Here is a 24784-nt window from a genome sequence, read left to right on the forward strand (position 1 = left end):
AAGTGGCTCACTCAGTTCGATGACACTAAGAAACCTTAAAATGACCCAGAACTTGCCATCTTAGGATTTCATTTGTTGGCTTTACCTCTAACCTTTAAAGACTTATCAGTCATAAATGGGACATGATATGGGAGGACTTTCAACTGGGTAACTAACTCCTCTCAGAGAACATTCTGCCCCCAGTGCCAAAGAACAGTTTCCCTAAAACTCAGCTTCACACCCTCAGGTTGGGAAAAGTTGGCCTAGTAACAGCAAATGCTTTGAAAGCAGTGGGGAAAGCCCATATTTGGGCTCAAATATTGTAACATCACATTTGTAATTGTTGATAGTTCAAAGATTTGGGGAGAAGACTGCAACAAAGGGGATCTAACAGGATCAGAAGCCCTAGTGGGGGGCTTTCAGAATCTAGCCTCTCCTTCTGGTTGGAAGTCCTATGATGGGAGTGGCATGCTCTAAACAACCACCTTGACTACAATGTAAAGAATAACACATGGGCCTTTTCAAACATGCATGCTTATAGAATTCCAGATCCTTGCACGACGTTTGCTAATAGTAGTGGCTTACAGATCTGTGGGCAAACTGGAGACATCTGGACTGACAGCCCTTGCCACAAGGATCATCTGAGATATTGGCCAGGGTATAAAATGTCTAATTTTTTGAAACTCCATTTGTTAGGTGGACCCTTCTCACTTGGCATGTCAAATTCCAATTGGCATCATAAATGACTATCTTAAATATGGTTATCCTTATCCCAAGGATGCCCCTATTATGTGTAAGGAAGGGGAATTTCTAAGATATGAGAAAAGTCTGCCACTGTCTCTCACAAACCACAACTTGGAACCATCCCTTCAAGAAACAGGGCTAGATATTCCTTGTGGCTCCTAGATACACTTAGTTCTCCCAAGGCATTAGAAGGGAACTTGTATTACAGTAGCAGTAGTTTCCAACTTATTTTTAAATTCTACTGAGTTGGCAGCATCATCATGGGACATACCTAACTTAGGCTCTTTTCTAGAAACTGCACTATCTCAAATACACCGGACAAAGAGATCTATCATTTCTAAGCCCTCACATGGAGATTTAGCTGAAAGGGCAGACTGGGGAAGGGCATGCACATGACAATCCCAACTTGAAAAAAAACATGGATGGGAAATTCTATAGCCAGAGGCCTATTCTGATTTACGGGCATCCCTCTTCTTGAAAGATCAGTACTTACTGTCTCTATTATGATGCAACAAGGATGGAAGGTAACTATAAGTGCCATAGAGGCACAACAACAATCTATAGACCCTTTATCCTCAGTAACAGCACAAAATAGATGGGCCTTAGATGTCCTCACAGCTGAAGTAGGAAGTACTGGTGTGCACTTTTAAATGAAACATGCTGCTTCTGAATTAACACTTCTAGTAGAGGAAAATCTACAGGTACGTAAAGATCAAATCAAAAGTATTATCAGGCTAAGAGAATATGTAGGCTTCAGTCCCAGGTGGCTACAATCCCTCTTTAATAAATTCCAGACTTCTTTATGGAATTGGTTAGCTCCTTTATTAAGCCCCCTCTTGCTTATATGTCTTGTATTAACATTTGAACCTGTACACTCAATACTATAACTTGAATTGTTTCCTCTGAAATCAAACTCCAAATGGTGCTGCAAACCGAACCATGCAGGAACACGCCATTCTTCCAAGGACACTTATATCGAATCCAGGAGGAGCCCTAACTGCTGTTCCCCAATCGACACCCCTTTTCAGCAGGAAGTAGCCAGAAAGAGTCGTTGCCCAAATCCCCCTAACAGCAGTTATGGTAACGTCTCCTCAGGGGCGAATATTATATGAGTTATTAAGAAATTGTTTTAGGCAGATAAGATAAGGGATCCTTGGTAAGTTTTTTTCTTAAAAGTAACTCCCAAAACATTTCTTTTCTAGCAGAAAAATGGCTTGAAGGGCCAGGCCAGCAGGCTTTGATATGCAAATGCCAGCCATTACAAACTGGGTCCATCCAATATGGGGATTCCCATCCTCTTCTCCTTGTCACCATGAGTGCCAAGCCTCAGGCCCCCCGCCCCGCCTCAGAGATCTCCATGTCTGCAGAACATCATGGCGGTCTACATTTGCATATTAAAAGGCTAGGGTGAAAGGGCCAGTTTTTTCGCGGTCTACATAAATGACATACCTGGTCAAACCAATCCCCTGGGTCATATGAAAATCAGGCACCGCCTCCTCCAGCCTCCTAATATAACCTACTGTTTTCCGCTGCACTTGTGGTTTCCTCTCTCCACTTGGAGCCCCCCTCACTCTGTCTCTGTACAAGGGAGCTTCTTCCTTCTGTTTTGCCTATTAAACTCTCTGCTCCTTAAAACCGCTCCATGTGTGTCCGTGTCATTTTATATAAATTGGTGCAGGACAAAGGACCCTGGTGTTCCTCCAGTCATCGAAGCCGTATCATTGGGGTCAAGAAAACCTGGGTTTAAAACTCTGCTTCTGTTGTGTGACCTTAGTTAAGTAGCTCATCCTCTCTGGACTCAGTTAACTTGTCTATCAAATAGATGAGCCTCAAGTTCCAGTCTTTCAGAAACAGTCTGAGTTTCTTTTTTATTTATTTTTAATTTTTGTGGGTACAGAGTAGGTGTATATACTTATGGAGTATATGAGATATTTTTATACAAGTAGCAATGCATCAAAATTACATCAGGGTAAATGGGGTATCCATTCCCTCAAGCATTTATTCTTTGTGTTACAAACAATCCAATTATATACTTTTAGATATTTTTAACATACAATTAATTTATTTTTGACCCTAGTCACCCTGTTGTGCTAGCAAATACTAGGTTTTTTTCTATGTTTTTGTACCAATTAACCCTCCCCACATCTCCTCCCACTCCACTACCCCTTCCAGCCTCTGGTAACCATCTTTCTACTCTCTACCTTCATGAGTTCAATCGTTTTAATTATTAGCTCCCACGAATAATTGAGAACATGATGTTTGTCTTCAGGAACACCAACCCCACCCCTCAGTCCTTGTCCCAAACACTCAGCTGTGATCTTCCTAAACGTGCCACTTTTAGCCCACCAGGAGAGGAGGGTGACAGGCTGGGGGAAGTGGAAGGGAAAGGCAAAAGGCAGATGGCAGCTGGCAACTTGATCCTTTTTGATTCCTCTTTTGCCTGAGAGAAAAAGAATGTGCCTGGTAAGAATTTAGGAGGGCAGTGGCTTCTCATGCACCAAGCCAGGGATGTTCTTTAGAACTCCTTACACACAAGCCAACCCTCTCCCCATACAGTCCTTAGCCTGCCAAGGAGAAGTTGAAAAATCAAGGGACACTTTCTCTACCACTCCTACACACAAAGCAAACCCTGTCTCTAGAGGTGTGTTGGGACAAGGGTCATACCTGCAGGGACCCAGGCTTAACCCTCTCCTGCCAACAAGCTGGACACACACCCCATGGAAGGCTCTCCTAGTGAGGCCTTTCCTCATCAGCCCCAAGTACTGCTCAGTTCAGGCTCTTCTCTCAAGAGGGAATGGTTCCAAGTTAGGGAAATCAAATGGAATCCATTTGTCAGCCTGGAGAGGCACGCCAGTGGTCCTTGCCTGCTGCTGTACATTTAGTCTTTCCCCATGGTTACAGGACAGTTTCTGAGTCCCTGCCATTAAGAATATGACCACAGGGACTCATGTGACTAATTTGGCTGCAGTCTCTGTTCTCTGGGTCTCAGGAAGACCCTACCTGGAAAGGTTTTGATGGCCCTTGGCCTGGAGTGCAGGGGATGGACCAAGCAATTTGGGGGAGTCCCTGTTATTTACAGCTTCATTGTGTTTATAGCAGACAGAGAACTAGCAGTCTACACTACAGATGAGAACATTTGAGGTCCAGCCAGGGGAAGTGACTTACCCAAGTGCACACAACATCTTTAGTAGCAGATTCAGGACTCCAACCCTAGTCTCCAAATGCTATCACGGTGTTTGCTCTGCTCTACTGCACTAATCTTGGAGGCTGTATTAGTCCATTTTCACAGTACTATAAAGAACTACCCGAGACTGGGTAATTATAAAGAACCTTAATTGACTCACAGTTCTGCATGGCTGGGGAGGACTCAGGAAACTTACAATCATGGCAGAAGGTGAAGGGGAAGCAAGGCACGTCTTACATGGCAGTAGAAGAGGGAAGTGCCATACTCTTAAACCATCAGATCTCATAAGAATTCACTATCATGAGAGCAGCATGGGGAAAACTATCCCCTGATCCAATCACCTCCCACCAGGTCCCTCCTTTGACACATGGGGATTACAACTCGAGATGAGATTTCGGTGGGGGACACAGAGCCAAACCATATCATAGCCCAACCATGACAACACCTTCTCTGAAGTGTGGCCTCCTCCAGGAGGGACCATGGATTTCTGTAGATGTAGGTGGACTCTGGGTGAAGGTGCCGGGGCCAAAGATCCTCATGTCTCTCCCTCCACTCTCTCTCTCCTTCCCCAGAGCCCTGCCCTAGTCTTACGTAAGATCAGCAGTTGCTGACAGATGCTGCTCAGCCTCAGCAGGGACTGGGTGAGGGCAAGGGCTGGAGAGGGCTTTAAGCAGGCCTTTGGGATGGAGCCTGGTGAGCCAGCCCTGTGTCAGGAAGAATGTGTGGCAGGGGATGGGCAGAGTGGGGAGATGGTGGTGGGGGGTGTTGGCTATTTTGGCAGGTGCAGGAACAAAGCCACAGAAATATGTGCCCCATGCCATAGATGCCCATGTGGCCCTCCAGGTGCTCAGATAAGCTATCTGAAACCAGAGCAGATACACAGGGAACACGGATGGAAAGTAAACCAGCTGTCCCTCTTGAGAATCCTGATAAAGCAGAGGCCACCCAGGCCTGGGATTGCAGGCTGGGAGCAGAGTTTGGGGGTAGAAGGCAACCTCCAAGATGTTCCTTAATCTCTGTGCCAGGATCTTGGAAGTCAGAGGGTAAAAGCACACCTACAGCTGTACTTGAGCTGATGCTGTGGATACACACTCCTAAATCTATGTGGGGACAGTTTTGCCTACTAGGAAAGGTCACCCCATGACCAGACTACTGGCTCCTTTTAATGGGCTGAGCAGTGTTGGCAGGCTGCTGGCTCTGCAGGGCTCAGTGAGAACATCTGCAACATGGATCTTCTCCATGAACCCCAAGGCCATGTGGCAAGCCCTCCTCCCAGGGAATGGACTTAAAGTGCTACAAGAGGTCAGATACAAAGCAGAGTTTTCATTCAAAAACCTAAAACAGGAAACTGTTTGAGGGGGGTAGTGAGGACCGATAAAGATCATTTCCCAGTGGTTTTAAAATCAAGGGATGTAAGACCACAATCTGCTAAAGCTACCAGATTATAAATCCATAGTTCAGGACCCAGGAGGTCTATTGGCTTGCACATGGATGCCTATGCATGTGCATGTTTGTGTTCGTTGATGGCACATTGTAGGTTCAGTACATAATGAAAATGAGAGAGGAGGAAAGCAAGTCTGGTGGCAGCTGAGCTGACTCTTCCACTTGATCTGTCTCTGAATCCTCACAGCCCAGGTCCTGCCTGGCTCTGAAGGAGAAATGGTCCTCTGGACCAGGCCTTCCCCTCCCCCATGAGCCCCCCGAAACCTGCAGATCTTGCCTACTTGCGATCCACACTCTTCTGTTTGTGGACAAAGAATGAAGTCTTGCCATTATCTGCTCCCTTCTCCAGTCACTCAACCACATGTCCTGCCTTCCAGTCCTCAAATTCTTCTCTCAATCCTGCTGCCTTGGGAACTACTATGTTGCATCTACAGCTCCTGTCCTTGAAAGAATCCTCTGCACATGGGACTTCCATTTGCTCCACACCATTCCGGACCCCATCCCCTCCACGGTCCCCGGTGGCCTCTGAGTCCTGTGGCCTTGATTCCCCAGCCAGGCTTATCTTCCTCCATGTGGGCCTCCACACTACTAGCAGATCCACAGCAGGGCCAGCTGAAGCCACATGCCTGCCAGCCAGCATCCTGAGAAGGAGGAGATATCAGGAAAGCAAGAGGCTTGACAGAGAGAGACAAATGGGTTGGGGGATAAAGTGGAGAGTGAGAAAGAAGCCAGGCTGCTCAGAGAAAAGTCAGGGAACCTTTAATCTCTGTTTCCCATTCTAGCCCACCAGGGTCCAGACTTGCTTTGTGTCCTGGCCTGGAATAATCTAGAATTTAGGAATTGCTTTTCTTAAACCCTCCCTTAACTTAAGGGTGGCTTACTGTTCCTTGTAAGCTGAACAGCCCTTCAAACAGACTACAGCTTATTTGTCTGGATGCCTGGAAGAGGGATCTGGGCAACTAGAGCCCTACAAAGCCCAATGGACAAACCCCAGTAGATCCTGGGTATCATGGACTGCATGTGTGAGGCTCCTACTGACCGTTCCAAGGCAGGAACTCTGTTCAGGAAGCTATGAGACAGTCACTTATCTAGTGAGGAAATCCAGCCACCATCCAGCAGCCACTGCTCAACACCAAATAGTTACTCCCAGCCCATTGTGGATATCCCTGTCCTTGCAAAGTGATGTAACAAAAGTCACCTTCCAGCACAACAATTGATAGGAAGAGAAATCCAAGCTGTAGCAGCAGGAGAAAGTATGTGCTGAAACAGTGCTTGCAAATTTCAGGGGCCACAAGAGGACAGGCCACTTATGGGGTCACAGGGCCACTGTGACAGTAGAGCAGGTGGGCAGGTCAAAGATTGGTGAGTGGGAGCCCTGTTCTGTCTCCAGAGGGTGCTCAATGTCATCCTCCTCCAAGAGGCCTCCCCACCCACCTGCCTACCCAGTGGCTACTACTCATTTAACTGCCAAATGAAGTCATCTTGAACACATGCTGGTCTCTTTAGTAGCTGTGTCCCCAGCAGGAATGAGGGCAGGGACCTCATGTGTTGGATGCACACATACAAATGAGAGGGAGCTGTGGAGCGGTGCCCCTGACATTTCCCCAGCAGCCTGCCCTCAATGGGCACCCCAGGGAGAGTGTGCAGGCATGAAGGGCCCCACCCCTGGAGCTGAAGCTGCAGGAAGAGGCCCCTCGGTGTCCTCTCAGGCTCTTACTCCAGAGGAGTCCGGCTCCACTACCTGGGAAGGCTTTTAGGAGCCTCTCCTAAGCCTGTGTGGGGAGAATTTTGCTTACTAAAAAAGTTTACGTGTGAGAGGGACTTTCCAAAGTTTAGAAAATGAGCATGTGAAGGTCATCTGCTTGAGGCTCAGAGGGGAAAAATGTATCAGGGTCACACTGGAGGTTCCGGCAGAGCCAGAGCTGTTGAAATCACCCAAAGCTCTGGGCAGGACTGAACCCATTCCTCTGCCCTGTCCTCGATTTGTCCTCCAACTCTCAGCTGTGGAATTGGAATATTCACCAAGCTCCGGCCCTGGCAGTGAGTGAGGTTTGCTTGGGGCAGGGCCCTCAGGTCCTGGTACCCCTAGCTCAGTGCAGGCACAGGAGACTCACTGGCTGGAAGCGGGCCAGCCCAGGGGCACCGGGAATCCTGCACAGATGGGGCTCTGAGGGCCTCTGTTCCCTGGACCCCAGATCTGAGACAGGAGCCCTCATCCAGAATCATGGAGCCAGGGCAGGGCTCCTGCCCTACATGCTTGTGGGGAGTGGGCACGGCTCTGCACCTGGTCTCACCCTCTCTGGTTATGGATAGCACCAGGATAGTCAATCAACAGAGTTCTAATGATTGAAAGAAAAGCATTAAACTACAGCCTGAAGGGGCTGAGAGGCACCAGGCTGATTTTCTTAGGGTGGTTGGTCCTAGAGTCTCTGAAGGCTCATCATTCTACAAGCTCACACAGTCCATGTGAGGAGAAGAGGAGGGACAAGCAGCTGGGAGCAGATCAGGACCTCAGTGATGAGGATATCACAGGCACATGGAGGTATGTGCTGGAAGCTGATGAGACAGATGACCCTGGAGTTCTTGAAGGACACTGCACCTGACCCTAGAAGTGAGCTGGAAGGGATGGACATCTCCAGATAAGGGCGCTGAGCCCCCATAGTGCTGATGTGCACCAGCACAGATTCCAGTATCTGCTGTGCCTGCAGTGGGACAAGGTGTCAGGGCACACCTGCTCCCAGAGGCTGGGCTGGGAAGAAGTTGGCTGAGTCTCGCCAATATCCCTGAGCCCTAGAGGCTCTGGCCAGACAGGTCCATAGGCAGACAGGGAGCAGAGGCAATGAGACACACGGGTGCTTCTGCAAGAGTCATGGCTCTGGCATGAGGGAGACCTCTTGAGATGCAGACTCGAAGGTCTGTCTTGGCAGGATTTGTCACACCTGTGGGGCAAAGAGCTAGAACAAGGAAAGGCTGGGAGAGGAAGGGGTCACCGGACAGGAAGGCAACTAATAGAGTTTGGCTTTGTCCCTACCCAAAATCTCATCTTAAATTATAATTCCCAAAATCCCCACGTGACAAGGGAGAGACCAGGTGGAGGTAAGTGAATCATGGGTGCATTTTCCCCTGTACAGTTTTCATGATAGTGAGTGAGTTCTAATGAGACCTGATTATTTTATAAGTGTTTGGGCAAGTTCCTTCTTTGGTCATTCTCCTTTCTGCCACCTTGTGAAGAAGGTGGCTTGCTTCCCCTTTGCCTTCCGCCATGATTTTAGGTTTCCTGAGGCCTTCCAAGCCATGTGGAACTGTGAATTAATTAAAACTCTTTCCTTTACAAATTACCCAGCCTCGGGTATTTTCTTATAGCAATGTGATAAAGTACTAATAAAGCACATTCCTTTGCATGAATGATACGCCCACAGTGGGTCAGAGTCCTGCAATCTGTTGGCTGAAAGGGCAGGGGCTCTGCAAAGCTGCAGGGAAGCAAAGCCAGCTGAGGGTTCTCCTATGTTCCTGTGGTTGGTTCAGACCAGCCTATGTGAGCAGGTGTGGGGCATTCTGGGTGGTTGGACTGTGCAACTGCAGGCATATTAGTGTGTGCACAAAGGGGAGTATGTGAGAGTCTCCCACCATGCACCTGTGGTCCTCTGCCCCAGAGCTAGGCCCCTCCCTGCCCCTCAGTGTCCAGTGAGGGGTCAGATTTCTTTTCCCACTGAGTCCTGTTGTGGTTGCTGACTCTTTTCATGCCTCCTGATTGAGAGAATCAAGGTGGAGATCAGGGACTAAGGCAGGACAGTGAGGGGCTCAAGATCCCCCAGGCCCAGCCCCCTGCTCAGGGTATTCCCCCTCTTCCTGAAAGGGAAGCGACCAATACCTACCCCTTCCCTCTGCTATAGTCTGACCCACAGGCCTGTCCATTGCCCCCTTACCTCCCCCGTATCTACCCCTGAAATGACTCATTGCTCTAGGGGCTTTTCCTCCTCTGCCCTGGGCCCAGAGTAAGAGACATCAGGGAAGGAAAGGGTACCTGGGAGTCTTGATCTCCAGACTCCTGGACCTTCTGATCCACACATTGAGCCTTGACATCACCACCCCTAAGACCCTCAAGATCTCCTAAAAAGAGAGCCTTCCATCCTAGGGTTTAGGGCCACTTGCAGCAGCAAGGCATTTTCAGAGGCCCTGGATTGAGGATAGACTCTGCCTCACTCCCATTACATCCAGAACATGCTATAGACACATGAAAAAGCTCCCTCACTGTCCCTAGGAAGCCATGTGCTCAGCTAAGGAGATGGGCTCAGGAACATGATGGTAACTCAAGGTTCTGCCAACATTACTTGACATATGAAAATACAGAGTTTTCTAGCACTGCCATGGCCAAGATTTTGGTTTTGGAGACCTCCGAGCTAATCAGCCTAAAGATCCCTTGCAGGCCCTGAGCCCCCCACCTTCTGGCTGTAGGCCGATCTGCCAGTTCCTTCTCCAAGAGGTGGTGTTTGCTGACTATACCCACACAAACAATGAAGCGCTCAGTGTGACAGGAGCTCAGAGACTTAATGGATTCTGATCTCTGGGAACCAAGAACACAAACTGCTCCCTGACCCATAGAGGTGAGGTGCACAGACCATGCCCAGCACATCAGGTATCCTCTACACTTCTGGAGGGGCCCCACTCACCTGCATAGCTGTGTGTATCCTGCCAGTGTCTCTCCCAACTTCACTGTGCTGGCCGGGAGCCTCATGCTGGCACTGCAGAATGGAAGACAGGACAGACAAGCCATGTGAGACATCCCCACCTCAGGAAGACCAGGTCTGTCCCTAGGGCTGGAGGAGTAGTCCCCAGCACCAAAGAGAACATGGTCCTCCATCACAGAGTGGACTATGTTGACTTGGCCAAAGTGAAGAACTTCCAGACTCCAGGAATTTTTCTCCATTCCTGAGAAACATCCCACTCAGTAGGACATCCCCAGGATCAGAACATCTTCCACTCCTTCCTTCTCCCCTTCTCTTCCAACAACTATCACTTTCACCTCAAAGACACCTCCTGAGTCAGATCCTTCCTTTCCATCTTCCCCACCAAAGCAATCAACATCTATCTGCTCCCCGGCCTGCCACCCAGAGCTCTTCACCAGGCTGCTTATACCTCAAATAAATCTGATCTGGTCCTTCCCGCTCAGACCCCTCAGACTGCAGAACAGGGGCCAAACTCCTTGGCATATCACACAAGGCTCTCATTATCTGGTCCCTCCCCCTGCCTACACCTCATGCCTATGTGCCAGCCGACAGAACACCCATGCTCTTCACTGTGCCCTTCCACATTCTGTTCCTTCTATTGGAAATGCCATTCCTCCAGTTTTCCACCTGAAAACATCCCACTAGTTCTTCAAGTTCCATGTTGAATGTCAATTGCTTCATAATACCTTCCCCAGCTCTCACAGGCTGAGTGGTTGCAGCTACTCCTGAGCTCCTAGCCCTGGGTTTGAAATTCCTGTCCCTGCACCTCCCTGCTCGAGTGGTCTGTGTGTGTTTCATGGTCTCATGTGAGTTGCTTGAGGGCAGCAACTCTGCCATTCATCATTGTACTCATCCTCTTCCATCCCCACCCCAACCCCCAGGCCTAGCCCAGCAGTCAGCTTCAGTGAATGTTTAGAGGGCAGATGAATACAGCACAAGTGGATTAAATTCCTAACACATACGTGCAACTCCTTTTCAGATCTGATATTTTTTTCCCAAAGCATGATCCTCAGACTCCTGCATCAATGTTATGGAGCATGGGGACCCTTATCAATCCCACAGATCCACAGGCACCAGGCCTGCTGAGGTAGAGGCTTTCCCTCCCTACGCTGTTCCTGGTCTCCCTCCTGAAAAGCCTCCTCCTCCTTCCCACCTCAAGACTAAACCCTCCTCCTTCTTTGGTGCCCCATCCAAGCCCTGCATCCTCCAAGCAGCTCTCCCTGATCCTACTTCCCTGTTCCATCTAATCCAGCTACAGTCTCTCCTGTTAATCCCATCCCTTGCCAGATCTGGAGCCCTGGGCAAGGAATGCATGTTCCTTTTGTGTATCATAGGGTACAGCCTGGCACAAAGGACATGGGTGGCAGATACTCAGAAAACAATCTGAATATGACCAACAGGAAAGAGCTGGGGCCTCCAGTCCCCCTCGCCCCAACCTGCAGATTAAAGTGGTTTCTCAGTTGTCTTTCCTGGGGCTCATCTGAAGGGGGCAGGAAAAGCGGTGGCTTGTGAGAGTCCTGGGGAGGTCGGTGGCCCCCTCAAGTCAGGACGCTTCCTCCTCCTTGGATATCCTACAGCTTCCACCAAGCGTCAACTGTGACCAAAGAAGTCTGTGGACAAGCCTTCATTAAAGACCCTTGTCTTGTCTGGTAAACGTATCTGTGAAACCCCATACACCAGTCAGGGTCACAAGCCCTTCTCTAGGTTTCCTTCTTGGGAAGCTGTTAACTACCTGTTTTCCTATCTGCCTATCTGCCTGCCAGCCCTGTGGGGCACCGATCAACATCGGGCCTTCAGCCTCCTCCCTAGGGCCTGGCACACATTAGAGACGCAATGCCCAGTGAATGAGTGAGTGACCCTGTGAACCAAATAATGAAGAATAAACACTAGGACAAGGCAATATGAGATTTCCCCACACCGCATACTTTGTACTGTTGGAGCAGTGGCCTAGCAGAGAGCATTAGGAGAGCCCTGCTGCTCTCCACCTCTCCCCTCTGCTCCTGTGCAAGCCTCCTAAGTGATGCCAGAAACTGATGAAGGCAGGTGTGGGCCTCCTGAAGCCCAGTGCCATCCTGGCCTGTACTGTCATCTGCAGCTCCGACCTTGCCCACTACGTGGGGCTGCTAATGCTTACTGGCACCCAGCTCCTGGGTCACTAACCTACTCTCCTTTATTTAGCACAGCCTTGTCTGCTTGGGGCCACCCATGGGAACCCAAAGCCTACTCTATCCAGAGCATGGTCCTATCTAGTCCGAGGCTCCTATGCTGTGATGGGTGCTGGATTCCTCAGTTTACCTTGCAATGGATTCAAGACAAGGGTGTGCTGTGCTCTTACCTGAAAGGAGGTGGTCCTGGCCTGGAGTATTTGAGGGAGCTACTGCAGGCGCATCGAGTGGATGAGGGGGTCTGCCTCTTCCTCCTTGCTGGGGTTTTTTACCCAGACAGGGCAGGGGGAGCATCACACAGAGGTCTAGAGCCCAGTGGGCTCAGGCAGCCACAGACCCCATGTTTCATCCCAGGAGCTGCAGGAGAAGGGGAAAGTGAGACAGTCCTCTGCCTCTCTCTCCTGCCTCCTTCACCTTCTGTAAGAGTGGTTGGTGGATAAGCATTCCCTTGGGGCCAGGTCACCAGGCAGAGCTTCCTAGGGGAGCTTCCGGAATGATCTGAGGCTTCCCAAGAGTCTGTTGGAGCCCTGGAGTCCAGGCCTGGATGAGGATGTGGTAGGGGGTACCAGGTCTCCCTGCCCCATGGCTGGTGCCCCTTGAAGTCTAGCAGCCTGCCCCATCTCAGTCCCTGCTCTGACCATGGCTGGAAGGAGGCAGTGGGGAAGAGACTGCCAACACCAACCTGCCTTAGTGGGGTGGGTGAGAGACAGACAGGGAGCCAGAGACCACCTGAGTGGAAATAGGAAGGAGCCCTCCAGGGTGGAGGGTGGAAGGGTAGGAGGGAGAGGACACTGCCAACCAGGAGTGTGACTAGTGAGAGGCAGGAGACTACAGTCAGAGGGCCCAAAATGCCCTGCTCTGCAGAGGACGGCAGTTTCTTCCAAGGGAGGGCCCTTTCTGTCTGCCTCTCAGTGGTGGCTTGGCCTCCTCCGAGAGGCCGGCTGCTCCTGGGCCTGGGCTGCTCTGAGGCTGCAGTCTTCTTTGGAGCCAGCTTGATGTCTTGTCAGGCTCTTCTTTAGGACTGGTGACCTCTCGAAGATCGATGCTTTCTCAGACACCAGTCTCCTTTCTGAGCCTGGTGTGTTTTCTGAGACACTTGTCTTTTCTAGAACCGACCTCTCTGAGATGGACTTTTGCTTTATCACCACTATCTTCTCCTACACTGATGCCTTTCCTGGGGCCAGTGTCTTCTCTGAGACACCTGTCTTTACTGGAACCAGCTTCTTCTCTGAGCTGTCTTTTCTCTGATACCACTGTCTTCTCAGATAGAGATGTTTTCTCCAAGGCTAGCACCTTCTTGGCGATGGAGGTTTTTTCTGAGACCAGTCTCTCATCCAGTGCTGTCTTCCCTAGCATGGAGTATTTCTCTGAGAAGACTGGGGACTTCTCTGTTTTTTTTCCTCCCTCATGGCTCCCTGCTCACCAAGCTCTCCTCCTCCAGGGCCCAGGGACCCCGCTGCTCCTGGCTTTGTCTCTGGTGAGGTGGGGTCTCCAGTTCCTTCTTGGGGACTAGGAGATGCTGCACGTCCTGCTAGGGTCCCAGCTTCCCCTTTGCTCCTCTGCCTTCTGCCTCTCCCAGATGGGTGCCCATGCAGCCTTCACCACCTGCTACCTCTGCCCCTTCTGACAGATTATGATAGCTTGGATGTCCTCCTCCTCATCTTTGGAGGCTGGGGCAGCAGCTTGGAAACCTCTACTTCTTCCATGCTTGAGAGTCTGAGTAGGGAGGTGGAGTTGGAAATATAATCACAGGATATCAGAAATGGAAGGGACCTTGGGGGCACCTAACCAATGGAGATGCCTTCAGGACCACCATGGGGAATACAAGAATGTCAGGCCCTGCCCTCCTCCCCACCACCACTTAAATAAGGATTATCTTTACCTACTCTACATATTAGGCTTCCAAGGGGTCATTGAACAAAGCAAGCCATGCTTTTTTAAAAAGTTAATAAACCCCTAGTAAGGTCCAACTATTCCATGTTTAGACATAGTCAAAAAAAATTAAGCAACTATATTATATGTGCCAGACCCTGTGCTAGGCATTGAGGGTCAAAAGAAATAAGCACAGCTTCTGTTCCTTAGAACTTAGATCAAAACTAGAAGTATTCAGGGATTTGTCAAAGGTCTCACAGCTAATTGACAGGAGAGCTTGGAGTGAAAGCGAGGGCTTCTGATGCACCATTCCACTTTCCTGTCAGTCACATGGGTACAGTTGAGACCAAGTGATAGCCACAGGTATTGCTGCGGCCTAGGGCACATGCCCTGTTCTCCATCCTCTGGGGCACCCAGGGAAACAACAGCATGAGAAGACTGTCAAAAACCCACAGCACTCGGCCTCCAGAGAAAGGAGATTCTTTTCCTTCCTCAACTACCTCTTCTCCATGTGATTTCAGGCAGGTTAACTCACTTTCAAAGCCTCGGTTTTCAAATCTGCAAACAAGGCTTGCAAGGAAGTAAAAGGAGACTCATCTCATGAGAGTGCCCAGCACAGTCCTGGCATGTGAGTGGCATTCAGTAAATTCTGGGCCCTTCTCTTCCTTTCCTCATAATCTCAAAGTCTAGATGGCAAAACCAGTTCTAATGTTCCTCCCCTCAGAAGTGAATTATGGGGGTCAGGATTAGAGGGAGGCAGGCTGGCTAACAGGAAGAGGTGAGCCCCAGAGCTGGACAGATCTGGATACAAACTCTGGTCCTGCTGCTCTGTAGGCATATGATTCCCTCAGTATCCTTCAGCCCAGTTTCCCTTTCTGTAAAATGGGTTCACAATACCTCCCTCTCAGGAATATTGTGAGAACTAAGTGAGCTATGGCCATAAAATGTCCCACACAGTTTTGGCTCATGGATGATCTCAATACTGGCAATCATTGTTGTGAAGAGGGTGGAACCTAGCAGGTCTGAGGGGTCTGGAGAAGGTGAGGAATTTGAAATTTATCTTCACAACCTTCAGCTTCATTCTCTGGGCTTCAGTGCTTGGCCGGCTGAACACGCTGCACGAAATCTGGAGAAGCTAATTCATCCCCACCACCCAGGATACCACAATGGTACCCTGGCCCCTGCCTTGACCTGAGCACTTCTCAGAGGCCCGACGTTCTCCATCTGGCTGATCCTGGGAGCCTCGTCCTCTGTGGTTTAGCTCTGGCTGCAGTGGCACCATCTGAGCTTCTGCTCCTCCTTATCTTCCAAAGACCACTACTAGGAAAGGCTCAGGGAGGGGAGGAGAGGGTCAGCACAGCACGGAGAAACATAAGACCCTCCCCATTGCATATTCCTGTGGGGCTGAAAGAAGAGACCACATACCCTCCTGCCTGCATTGAACACAAGAGGCTGTCAAGTGCTTGAAATGCAGCTGGTCTGAACAGAGACATACTGTGTGAAATACACACTGGATTTTAAAAACCAGTTAAAACTCTCATTAGGAATTGTGTATACTAATTACATGGTGAAATGGTAATATTTTTGATATATTGGGGTAAATGAGCTATCGTATTAACATAATTTTACTTTTTACTTTTTTAATGTGACCACTCAAAATTTTAACATTTTAAATGTAGTTCCCATTATATGTCTATTAAATTTCTACTAAAGCTGTAGGGATTTGATTTAAACCAGGGTTTCTCCACCTCGGCACCACTGACACTTTGACCAGATAATTCCGTGTGTGAGTCTGTCCTGGATTGTAGGATGTTTAGCAGCAAACTTAGCCAATACCTGCTGGGTGCCAGTAGTAGCATCCCCCAGCTGTGACAATGAAAATGCTTTCTGACATTGCTGAATGTCGCTGGGGGGCAAAATCACCTCAGATGAGAATCCCTGGGCTGGACATTACTCTGGACTTCAGGGTGGGAATGTGAGGCCTCCCTGCCTGAGGGTGACTAGGAATGTGGAAGGGTGGGCATGGTTATGCCTGAAGGAAGTAGATGAGCTTGCCAAGTGCCTCTCTCTTTTTAGTCCTGGGATTCTTAGATAATACTCCTTGACAGACAGTCAGGGTGAGATTTCCTCAGAGTTACTCAGTTCCCCATGGAATTTCTTAGCTTTGGGGATGGGGAGACTTGCAAATAAAACCAATTACACCTGAAAACCCCGATATCATCTCCTCTTTGCTTCCCAGGGGCTCTTGGGGTCTCTGTCACCTTCTAGTTGAAAAGAGCTGAGTCAGAGAGCTTGACAGATGGTGATGAAAATCCAGAAAACTTTCACTTGTCTGGGGAGCAAAGGGAGCCCACACACCATACTTTTGGCTCCTGCCCCAATGACCCTTCATTCACGTGGCCATCCAGGTACTCTCGCAGCCAGCCAGTCAAGCCCCACCAATTTATCCATCTACCACTCACTCACACATCTGTGTACCCAGCCACCCACCCATTTCCATCATCCTTGTCCCACCTTCCCTACCACACACTCACCCACTGCCCCCCAGCCCATCCTCCCTTCCAACCACCACATCTCTTCCAATCCAACAAAGGAGCAAATGCATACTTACTGAGCAACTGTGACAAGCCAGCACCATTTCAGCAACTGCGGTGGAGTGGGGAGGGGGGTCAGAGAACATAGCAGGGTATCTGCCCTGGAGACACTAACAACCTAGTAAGAAACAGAAGAACGTCCACCAAGAAACAGAAGAATGTTCACCAATAACTCCCCCAACCAAAGTGCACAAGTCACTCTGCAGAGTGAGAACACAAATGCTACAAGCCAAGATTATCCGGAGAGGCTCAAGGAAGAGACTGAACCTAGGCTGGATCTCAGTGAGCAACCAGGCTTCGGATGTGGTGACTGGCAGTCCAGGCAAAGGAGAAGTACTGAGCACCCCAGGAGGCCAGAAGTTTCGGGGTTTGCTGGGGACAAAAAGGCTGTAATTCCCAAGGGAGGCAGGAGAGGGCTTGAGCAGGGGAGTAGCAGACTGAGAGAGTCAGTCAGGTGAGCCCCTCCTGGCACCTCCCTCTGTCTCCCCCATGCTTAGACCTGGGTTGGAAAAAGCCTCCGTCTTCCCTTCCAGAGTTACAGCAATGACTATAAGGCCTGCCCTTGCCACTCCTGGGCACCAAACTCTCCCTTCTTTTTGCTCTCCAGCCTCCCTTGCTGCCCACCTCTAGTTCCTACTGAGCCTCTTCCCTCCTGGATGGTATAAAACAGTGCCACATGGAGTCTTAGGTAAGACAGAGTCAGGTGATCTGGTTTCTAGTCCTCCTGCACTTGGGTAAGTCATTTCCTTTTCTCTTTTTCCATTTTCCCTCCTAAAATGAGAAGGTTCAACCACAAGACAGCTCTCATTTTTTTCTAGGTCCAGCATCACATGTATTGAGCCAATATTCACTAAACGAATACTTCTGAGCATCTACTATGTGCCAGGCATGCTTCCAGGGACTAAAACCAAGATCCTCCCCTTCATGGAGCACAGATCCAGAGTGGAGGAGAGTCAGACCATGAGTGAGGAAAACAAGCTCATGAACAAAATGAGATAAGTGTCACTGGGACAACAGAACAAAGTAAGCAATGTGGGAGAGGGTGGCTGGGTGATGAAACCCTCTGAGAGATCAGGTTCATGAGGAGGAGGCAGAGCTAGATCTGGCAGCCAGAGTCCCAGGAGGAGGGCACAGCGAGTGCAGAGCCTGGATGTGAGGAGGTAGGTATCTAAGGGAAGAGGGTACGCGTGGGCCAAGGAGTAGCCTTAAGGGAAGTTGGACAAGGTGCCAGGGTTAGAGCATGGGGTCTTGGAGACCAAGGAAGGAACTTGGGTTTTAATCAAAGTGTGCTGGACAGCCCTGGAGAGTTGTACACAGAGAAGTGACAGGGTGGGATTTCTGTAGTTTAAATCTCTCTGGCTGATGTGTGGAAAAAGAATGGAAAGGGCAGGGGAAAGGGGAAACAGGAGACCTGTTGGGAGGCACCTGCAATTGCACAGGTAAGAACTATCATGACTTGAACTGACAGAGAGATATGGGAAAGGGATGGATTCGGGGCACATTCTGAAGATAGAGCCACCAGGTTTACTACTATATTGGATGTTGGACTTGGGGGAGGCGCGTGGTTGGTGAGGAAAGAATAATTAAGAACAAGATTTTTGGCCTGAGCTATTCCTGGAGCTACCATGAGCAGGACAGGAAGACCAGGGGAGCAAGGAGTGTGGGGGATGTTGGGTGGTAGAGGGGAGGGACAGGAGGGAAATGAAGACCTGTGTTTCTGGTAGTGAAAAGCAAAGGAGATCAAGATGCTGCAGTCAGGAAGCTGGAAAAATACCAAGCCAGGGCGTTGGCATGGGCAAAGGAGCGAGGGCCTCAGTCAAATGCTGCTGTGAGGGAGAATGAGACCAGGTGGAGTAATGAGTACAGGGGTGCCAGGCTTCCTGGAAGCGGCAGCTTCAGTGATTGTGCCAGAGCCTGACCCAGCTGGTGAGGATGAATGGGAACGAAGAAAGAAATTAGTGATTAGCAGCACTCTTTTGAGAAATATTACTGAGAAGAAAAGCAAATAGAAGGGGACAGTAAGTACCCAGAAGAGGATGTGAGGTCACAGGATGCTTTTTTTAAGTTGAGGTATAATTTATATAAATGTACAGATCTTAAGTTTTGCTTTTCTTAGAAAAAATGAGCAAATGCAGGAGAGTAGAGAGGGCCTGAAAAGAAAGGGTGATTAAGTTGTCCTGCAGTGAGGGAAACAACTGCAGGATAGGGCCTCTTTCTTCTCTAGTACCCAGCATGGCACCTGGCACCCAACAAGTGCAGACCAATGTAGAAGAGCAAGGCAATGTCAATTTCAGGAGTGCAGGGCTCTCCTCCTCCCTAGGAACTATTCAACCTCTGCCTTGATACTGAAGAGCACAAAGCAGGAGAAAACTCTATGTCTTTCCCAAAGGCAATCTGTCTGTCTCTCTTTCCGGGAAGGTGTGTGCCTGCCAATCACTCTATAGGAAAGGATGTACCTTTGAAGAGGAACTTTCTGGACCCTCTTAATTCTGCCATCAGTGCAGCTCTTCCAGGTTAGAACCTCAGTCCCTCTGTCAGTCTTACCTCCACTTCCTCATGCAGAAGGGCCCCAGTCAAATGTTTCTCCCCATGGCCTTCATCATGGAATTTAAGCGAGGTTCCCCTGGGCCTCCACATGACTCCTGTGAGCTCTGTAGAATGATCATTCATCGTTCATTCACTGCATACCAACTGATGGTCTCTTATGAGGTAGGATTCAACGTCGCACCTCTCCTTGGTTTTCTTGTTCAAAGTTAGAAATGCCAACTTCTGCTGTCTTTCATCTGATACCACATCTCCAGCCCCCACACCCCTGCTTCTCTGGATGCACCCCTGCCCCTTGCCCATAGTCTAGGAACAGCTCTTGCCCTCCAAAGCTGAGGGATTCATATACTGGGGAAAGTGACCCACACAGCTCAAAGCACCTCTTCCCTGAGCTGGCTGGGCTGGAGCCTCCAGGACCCCTGAATCCTGAGCAATCCAGTTTCCACATACTGCCCTCAGCCCTTGGGGAAGTGGTCTATTTGTTTACCCTCCAGTGAAGCCTTTTATGGTGTCTGATCAGAGCCTGGTCTCCTTGGAATTGACTCATTCCCCAGGCTGGTTCTGGTCCTGAGAGGTCTCCAGGGGGCTGGGCTATAGAAGATGGGGCCCAGGCATCTTTGAATGTCCCTGAGCTTTACACCAAGAGCCCACAGCTCACTCAAGGTGATGTGGCTACCACTCCTGCTGCTTGGGAATCATGTGGCCACCTTCAACCCCTGACATTGGCAAAACCTGAGTCCCTTGAGAATCACCATCCAACCCTGGGAAGAAAAGCTATCTCCAATAAGCAAAAGTTATGAGGAAATTGATAGAAATGGAAGGCAAAGGTCAGTCCCCAGGAGGGACCACAGCAGGTGCAGGTGTTGAGACCCCTATGAGAATAAATTAATAATTAGGGGCTTAGAACAGTGCCTGGCATTTGTTGAATGTGGAGAATAATAATCAGTAACTAAAGGAATAAAGGAGGAAGAAAGGACACTCACATGTGTGCTTACTCCAATGAGAGGCACTGCTGTAATGTCACTGACATTCCTCTTTACAACAGCCCTGGGAGGTAAGTGTGTGTTATCCCCATTTTGATTATAACTTTCCCAAGATTACGCAGCTAGTAAAAATAGGAAACCAGGCCAGATGCAGTGGCTTACGTCTGTAATCCCAGTACTTCGGAAGGCCAGGGCAGGTGGATCACCTGAGGTCAGGGGTGTGAGACCAGCCTGGCCAACATGGTGAAACTCCATCTCTACTAAAAATACAAAAATTAGCCAGGCATAGTGGTAAGTGCCTGTAATGCCAGCTACTCTGGAGGCTGAAGCAGGAGAATTACTGGAACCCAGGAGGCAGAGGTTGCAGTGAGCCAAGATGGCACCACTGCACTCCAGCCTGGGCGACAGAACGAGAGTCTGTCTCAAAAAAAAAAAAAAAAAAAAAGGAAACCAAGATTTTAATCTAGATTAGCATCTCAAGTGCCCATACCCTTAACCACTTTACTACTGCCAGAAAAGGCTGCTGAGGAAGCCTGGCCCTAAACCAGAGTGAGGTTCCACCTCCTTGGGAGCTCAACAGCTGAGCATTCAGGAGAAGGAACAGAGGGGCCTCTGAGGTGTGGGCTTTCCCACCCCGGGGCAGGCTGCAGCTCAGGGCACAGCCTGGGAGGGCAGAGTTTTGGGGAAACCCAGTGGCCAGTACAACATTGACCGTCAAGGCCAGAGCCAGGCCTGGGGTGAAACCTAAAGGCCCCAACAACTGGGGGTCCCAGCCACTCTCCCTAGCTGAGGGCACAGCCCCAGGTGGCTGCCCACCACTGCTTCCCTCCGAACAATGCTTTCCCCCTGTGCTGGCCTTCACCAGGGGACACATTTCCCTCCTTATGCCTGCATGTCATACTGCTATCCTCCCTATTCCAGACTTCACCAACTCCAAAATGGGGCTCCACTTTTTCTCTTAAATATTTCTAAAAGACATCTGCCCCGTTACTCATTGGAGAGCTTGTTTTGACCTCTCCTTTTGGAATTTTCTTCCTAAAGTTTAACTTCCATCTATTATGTAGCAACTGATAGCAAGGGTTTAAGTGCAGTGGTTAGTAAAGGTCATGTTTACAAGTAAAACCCATTTTCCCAAACTGAATTATAGGTAGATGCTTCTTATACAACAGATCAAGGCTCGGATGCTCTGGTTAAAGTAGGGAGAGGGTGTGAAGGCTGCCCCAGAAGCATTTTCTAGAACCCTGGGGCTCAAGGAGCATAATTTGCAATTCTTAGGGGCTAGGATAGAGAAAGGGAGAACAGAGGAGAAAGCTGCAGTGGGGGCTGGCCATGATCTTGGACCTACCTTCATTCCCTAAGCGGGGTAGGCCTTAGGTTCCCCTTCAACATAAAGGGTCACTGTGGGTGGTCACTGAGGTCATTTCCAGCCCTGATGGTTTTGGGCAAAGTGTTGGGAGTCCCCAGGGCAGTGCATGGAGGTGGGAAGGCAGCTCAAGCCCCTGGGAAATGATTAACCACTGGCTACTCAGTCCCAGGTGCTCTCAGATCCACCTCTCACCTCCTGCAGACAGGCCAGTCCAGGGAGAAAAGATCAAGGCCTCTGACCAGGGCACCCAGCCAGCCCACTCACCACTGCCCCTATCCCAGGACTGGAACACTCAATTTACTACTTAATGCCAAGAATATGCTGCAGGCTGGCCCTCAGCTGCCCACCAACCTCCCCATCTAAGGCCTCCCTGACTAAGGCCATGCTTGTCACACTCTCAGCACATTCCTCCCAACCCTGGCAGGCTCAGTTGACAGTGACCTTCTCTCCTGCCTCCCCACTGAGGCTTGTTGTTCACTTAGGGAGTGAAGCAGAAGTGCTCCTCTGTTCCAGGTGCCTCATCAGGGTGACTGTTGGCAGCAGCTGCTCCTGCCCATGGGGCTATATGAGAGCTAAGGCTGGGCAGAGGTGACAGACCAGGGGCCCCTGTGGCTGAATTGGTTTCCCAGGGCTTCCCTGGCACTTACCCTGGACATCCTGTGGGAACTTGGCCCCACCCATGCACCCACATGAGTCCATGTTCATCAGAGCAATGGACAAGCTAAGGCCAGACTTTGCTCCCATTTCCAGTGCTAGCTGCCTCCCCACACCACACACCCCTGTACATATGCAGGTGTGCTTACAGACATAAAATGATATATATCCCACCAGACTGTGAACTTCTGAGAAAGTAGTGTCTGGTTTCCTTCTCACCAGAGACTGTTTCTGAGAAAGAAGGGTCCTTGGCCTACTGCAGGCCCAGAAACCTCCTTCCCACTGGACTGCATGAGGGCCCATTCTCCATTTCTGATCAAGGGCTTGGATTCTCATGTAGAAGTTTATTATCATTCAAATTCTAATTCTATCTTGCAGATAGAATTAGAAGCCAGGGGATGACCTTGGAAAATACAGTCTATTTCGTCCAATTGTTCTTGCCTGTCTACTCCATGTAATAATGAAGAATTTGCTCCTTTAGGCTCTAGCGCTGACAAGGGGCTATTGTCCATGGGAGTGAGATTAGTCTGCTAGAACACAAAAGCCACACACATAAAGGGCTGCTTTCAGCCCCAAGAAGAGGCACCCAGGCCAGTGCCAAAGCGAGAGAGGGAGGGGCAGGGAGGCTCCTGACCAGATTCTGCTCATGGGGGAATTTTGGCCAGAGCTGAGCAATACATCTCTACCAGGTCACACCACAAAACACGGCCTGTGTCAAGACAATACACCTATCTGTGCTTCAGTTTTCTTATATAAAATTGGGTGGTGATGATACCTACTCTTGCTCATCTGGTGGAATTATAATCAGTAACAAACAAGTAATATAATGTATGTGAAACCTCATTCATTCATTGATTTTTTTTTTTTTCTTTGAAACATGGTCTTGCTCTGTGGCCCAGGCTGGAGTTCAGCAGTGTGGTCACCACTCACTGCAGCCTCAACTTCCTGAGCTCAATCAATTCTCCCACTTCAGCCTCCCAAGTAGTTGAGACCACAGGTTAGCCATGCCTGGCTAACTTTTACTTTGTTTTTTTGTAGAGATGGGGTTTTGCCATATTGCCCAGGCTGGTCTCAAACTCCTGGGCTCAAGCAATCTGCCTGCCCTGGCCTCCCAAATTCTGGGATTACAGGCCTGAGCCATTGCACTTAGCCTATTCATTGATTTTCTTTTTTAAAATTTTTCATTTGTTTTTATTATATTTTACCATTCATTAATTTTTAATAAACATTTACAATATCTGATATTCATAGGCATCAGACATGTGACAAACATCATTCTAGGTGAGGCAGCTAATGTAATGAACAAGATCCAGTCTGAATGTCCAAGGAACAAAGCAAAATTTGCACTAACCATAAAAAACAGCAATGACGGCGGTGAGGATGGTGGTGGTGATGATGGTAATGATAGATGTTCACCCCAGAAGGCTCTGATGCCTGGTGACTGATTTTTGTGTGTGGTGATTGTTCCTCCTCTTGTTCATCTTGGCTATGAACTAAGAGAGATTAAAATGCTTTTGTACAAAGGAAAAAGTATGCATATTCTATGAAATACATTTCTCTGCCTGTTTAAATGTAGCATTTTCAAGAGAGGCAGGGATATTCAGTGTTCACCACTTGGGTGAATGGATGGGTTTTCAGCATCAGGCCTGGGAGGCCCTGACCAGTCATGTCGTTGATCTCAGGCCTGTGGGGGTAAGTGTGTGCAGGAGGGTTAGGATGTGGCATGTGGCCAGGGAGCTTTCTTTCCTCCCTGGGCCTCAGTGTGTCCACTTGCAAAGTTAAAATGTCTACTTTCCCATTGCTTAAGCTTTCTCAAGCTAATTTACCACAAATCAATCTGCTGAGATTCACCAAGATGATAATGGTTTACCAGAGAACAAAGAGAAATGTTATATATATATATCTTAGATATAGATTATATATGTTATATATCTGTACACATACATGGTTTTTTTTTTTTTGTATTTTTTTTTTCTGTAGCAGCAGTCTTACTATGCTGACTGGGCTGGTCTCAAACTTCTGGCCTCAAGCAATCCTCCTTCCCGAGTTCCCCCAAATTCTGGGGTTACATGAATGAGCCACTGTGCCTGGCTACGCTTCATGCTTTTGAATACTTTTTGATTGAAATAAGACAGAAATACCCATGAGCTAGTATTACACAGCAGGCTTCTAATGGATAAAGACAACAAACACCCCCTACTACTGAGTGTTCTGCTGTGGCTTTTAATAGTATTTACAGGATAACTAAGTGAAACATGAAGAAAAACAGAAAAAGAAGCGGTGCTTGTATAAAGTTCTTGTATAGAAAGAGAATAAGGAGAAAAAACTATCAAAAATACGGAATATATAGCAGACCTGTTTTCTGAAGATAGTACCTGTATTTCTATAGTGGTGGGAGGATGGAGTGCAGAAGAGAGGTGGTAGGAGAATGAGATTTGCTACAGTACACATCCATATTGAGGGTATCATGGCAAGTTCCTGTTCCCTATGCCACAGTGGTACAGTTGACAAATTCTTCAATAGAATGCA

The 24784-nt window shown here is 49.0% G+C and overlaps 2 long non-coding RNA genes across 4 annotated transcripts in view; one reads left to right on the forward strand and one right to left on the reverse strand.

Annotated features, from left to right (window-relative positions):
• The window catches only part of LINC02987 (long intergenic non-protein coding RNA 2987), a 231539-nt gene that overhangs the window by 90043 nt on the left and 116712 nt on the right, over positions 1 to 24784 (forward strand). Inside the window, exons 2-4 of one of the 3 annotated variants that reach the window (NR_146735.1) lie at positions 17316 to 17396; positions 17527 to 17868; positions 19127 to 19221. The exons of the other annotated variants lie outside the window; for them this stretch is intronic. This is a non-coding gene — a long non-coding RNA (long intergenic non-protein coding RNA 2987). The remainder of the gene's footprint in view (positions 1 to 17315; positions 17397 to 17526; positions 17869 to 19126; positions 19222 to 24784) is intronic. 3 annotated transcript variants of the gene reach the window in all.
• Positions 3078 to 24720, reverse strand: LOC105372347 (uncharacterized). Its single transcript, XR_007067375.1, has 7 exons — positions 24631 to 24720; positions 23607 to 23748; positions 19253 to 19359; positions 16726 to 16826; positions 12413 to 12599; positions 10021 to 10092; positions 3078 to 3163 (listed from the first exon to the last, which is right to left on the reverse strand). It is a non-coding gene; the product is annotated as an uncharacterized LOC105372347 (long non-coding RNA).

The sequence above is a fragment of the Homo sapiens genome, chromosome 19 (assembly GCF_000001405.40).
Source record: "Homo sapiens chromosome 19, GRCh38.p14 Primary Assembly".
Taxonomy (NCBI): Eukaryota; Metazoa; Chordata; class Mammalia; order Primates; family Hominidae; genus Homo; species Homo sapiens.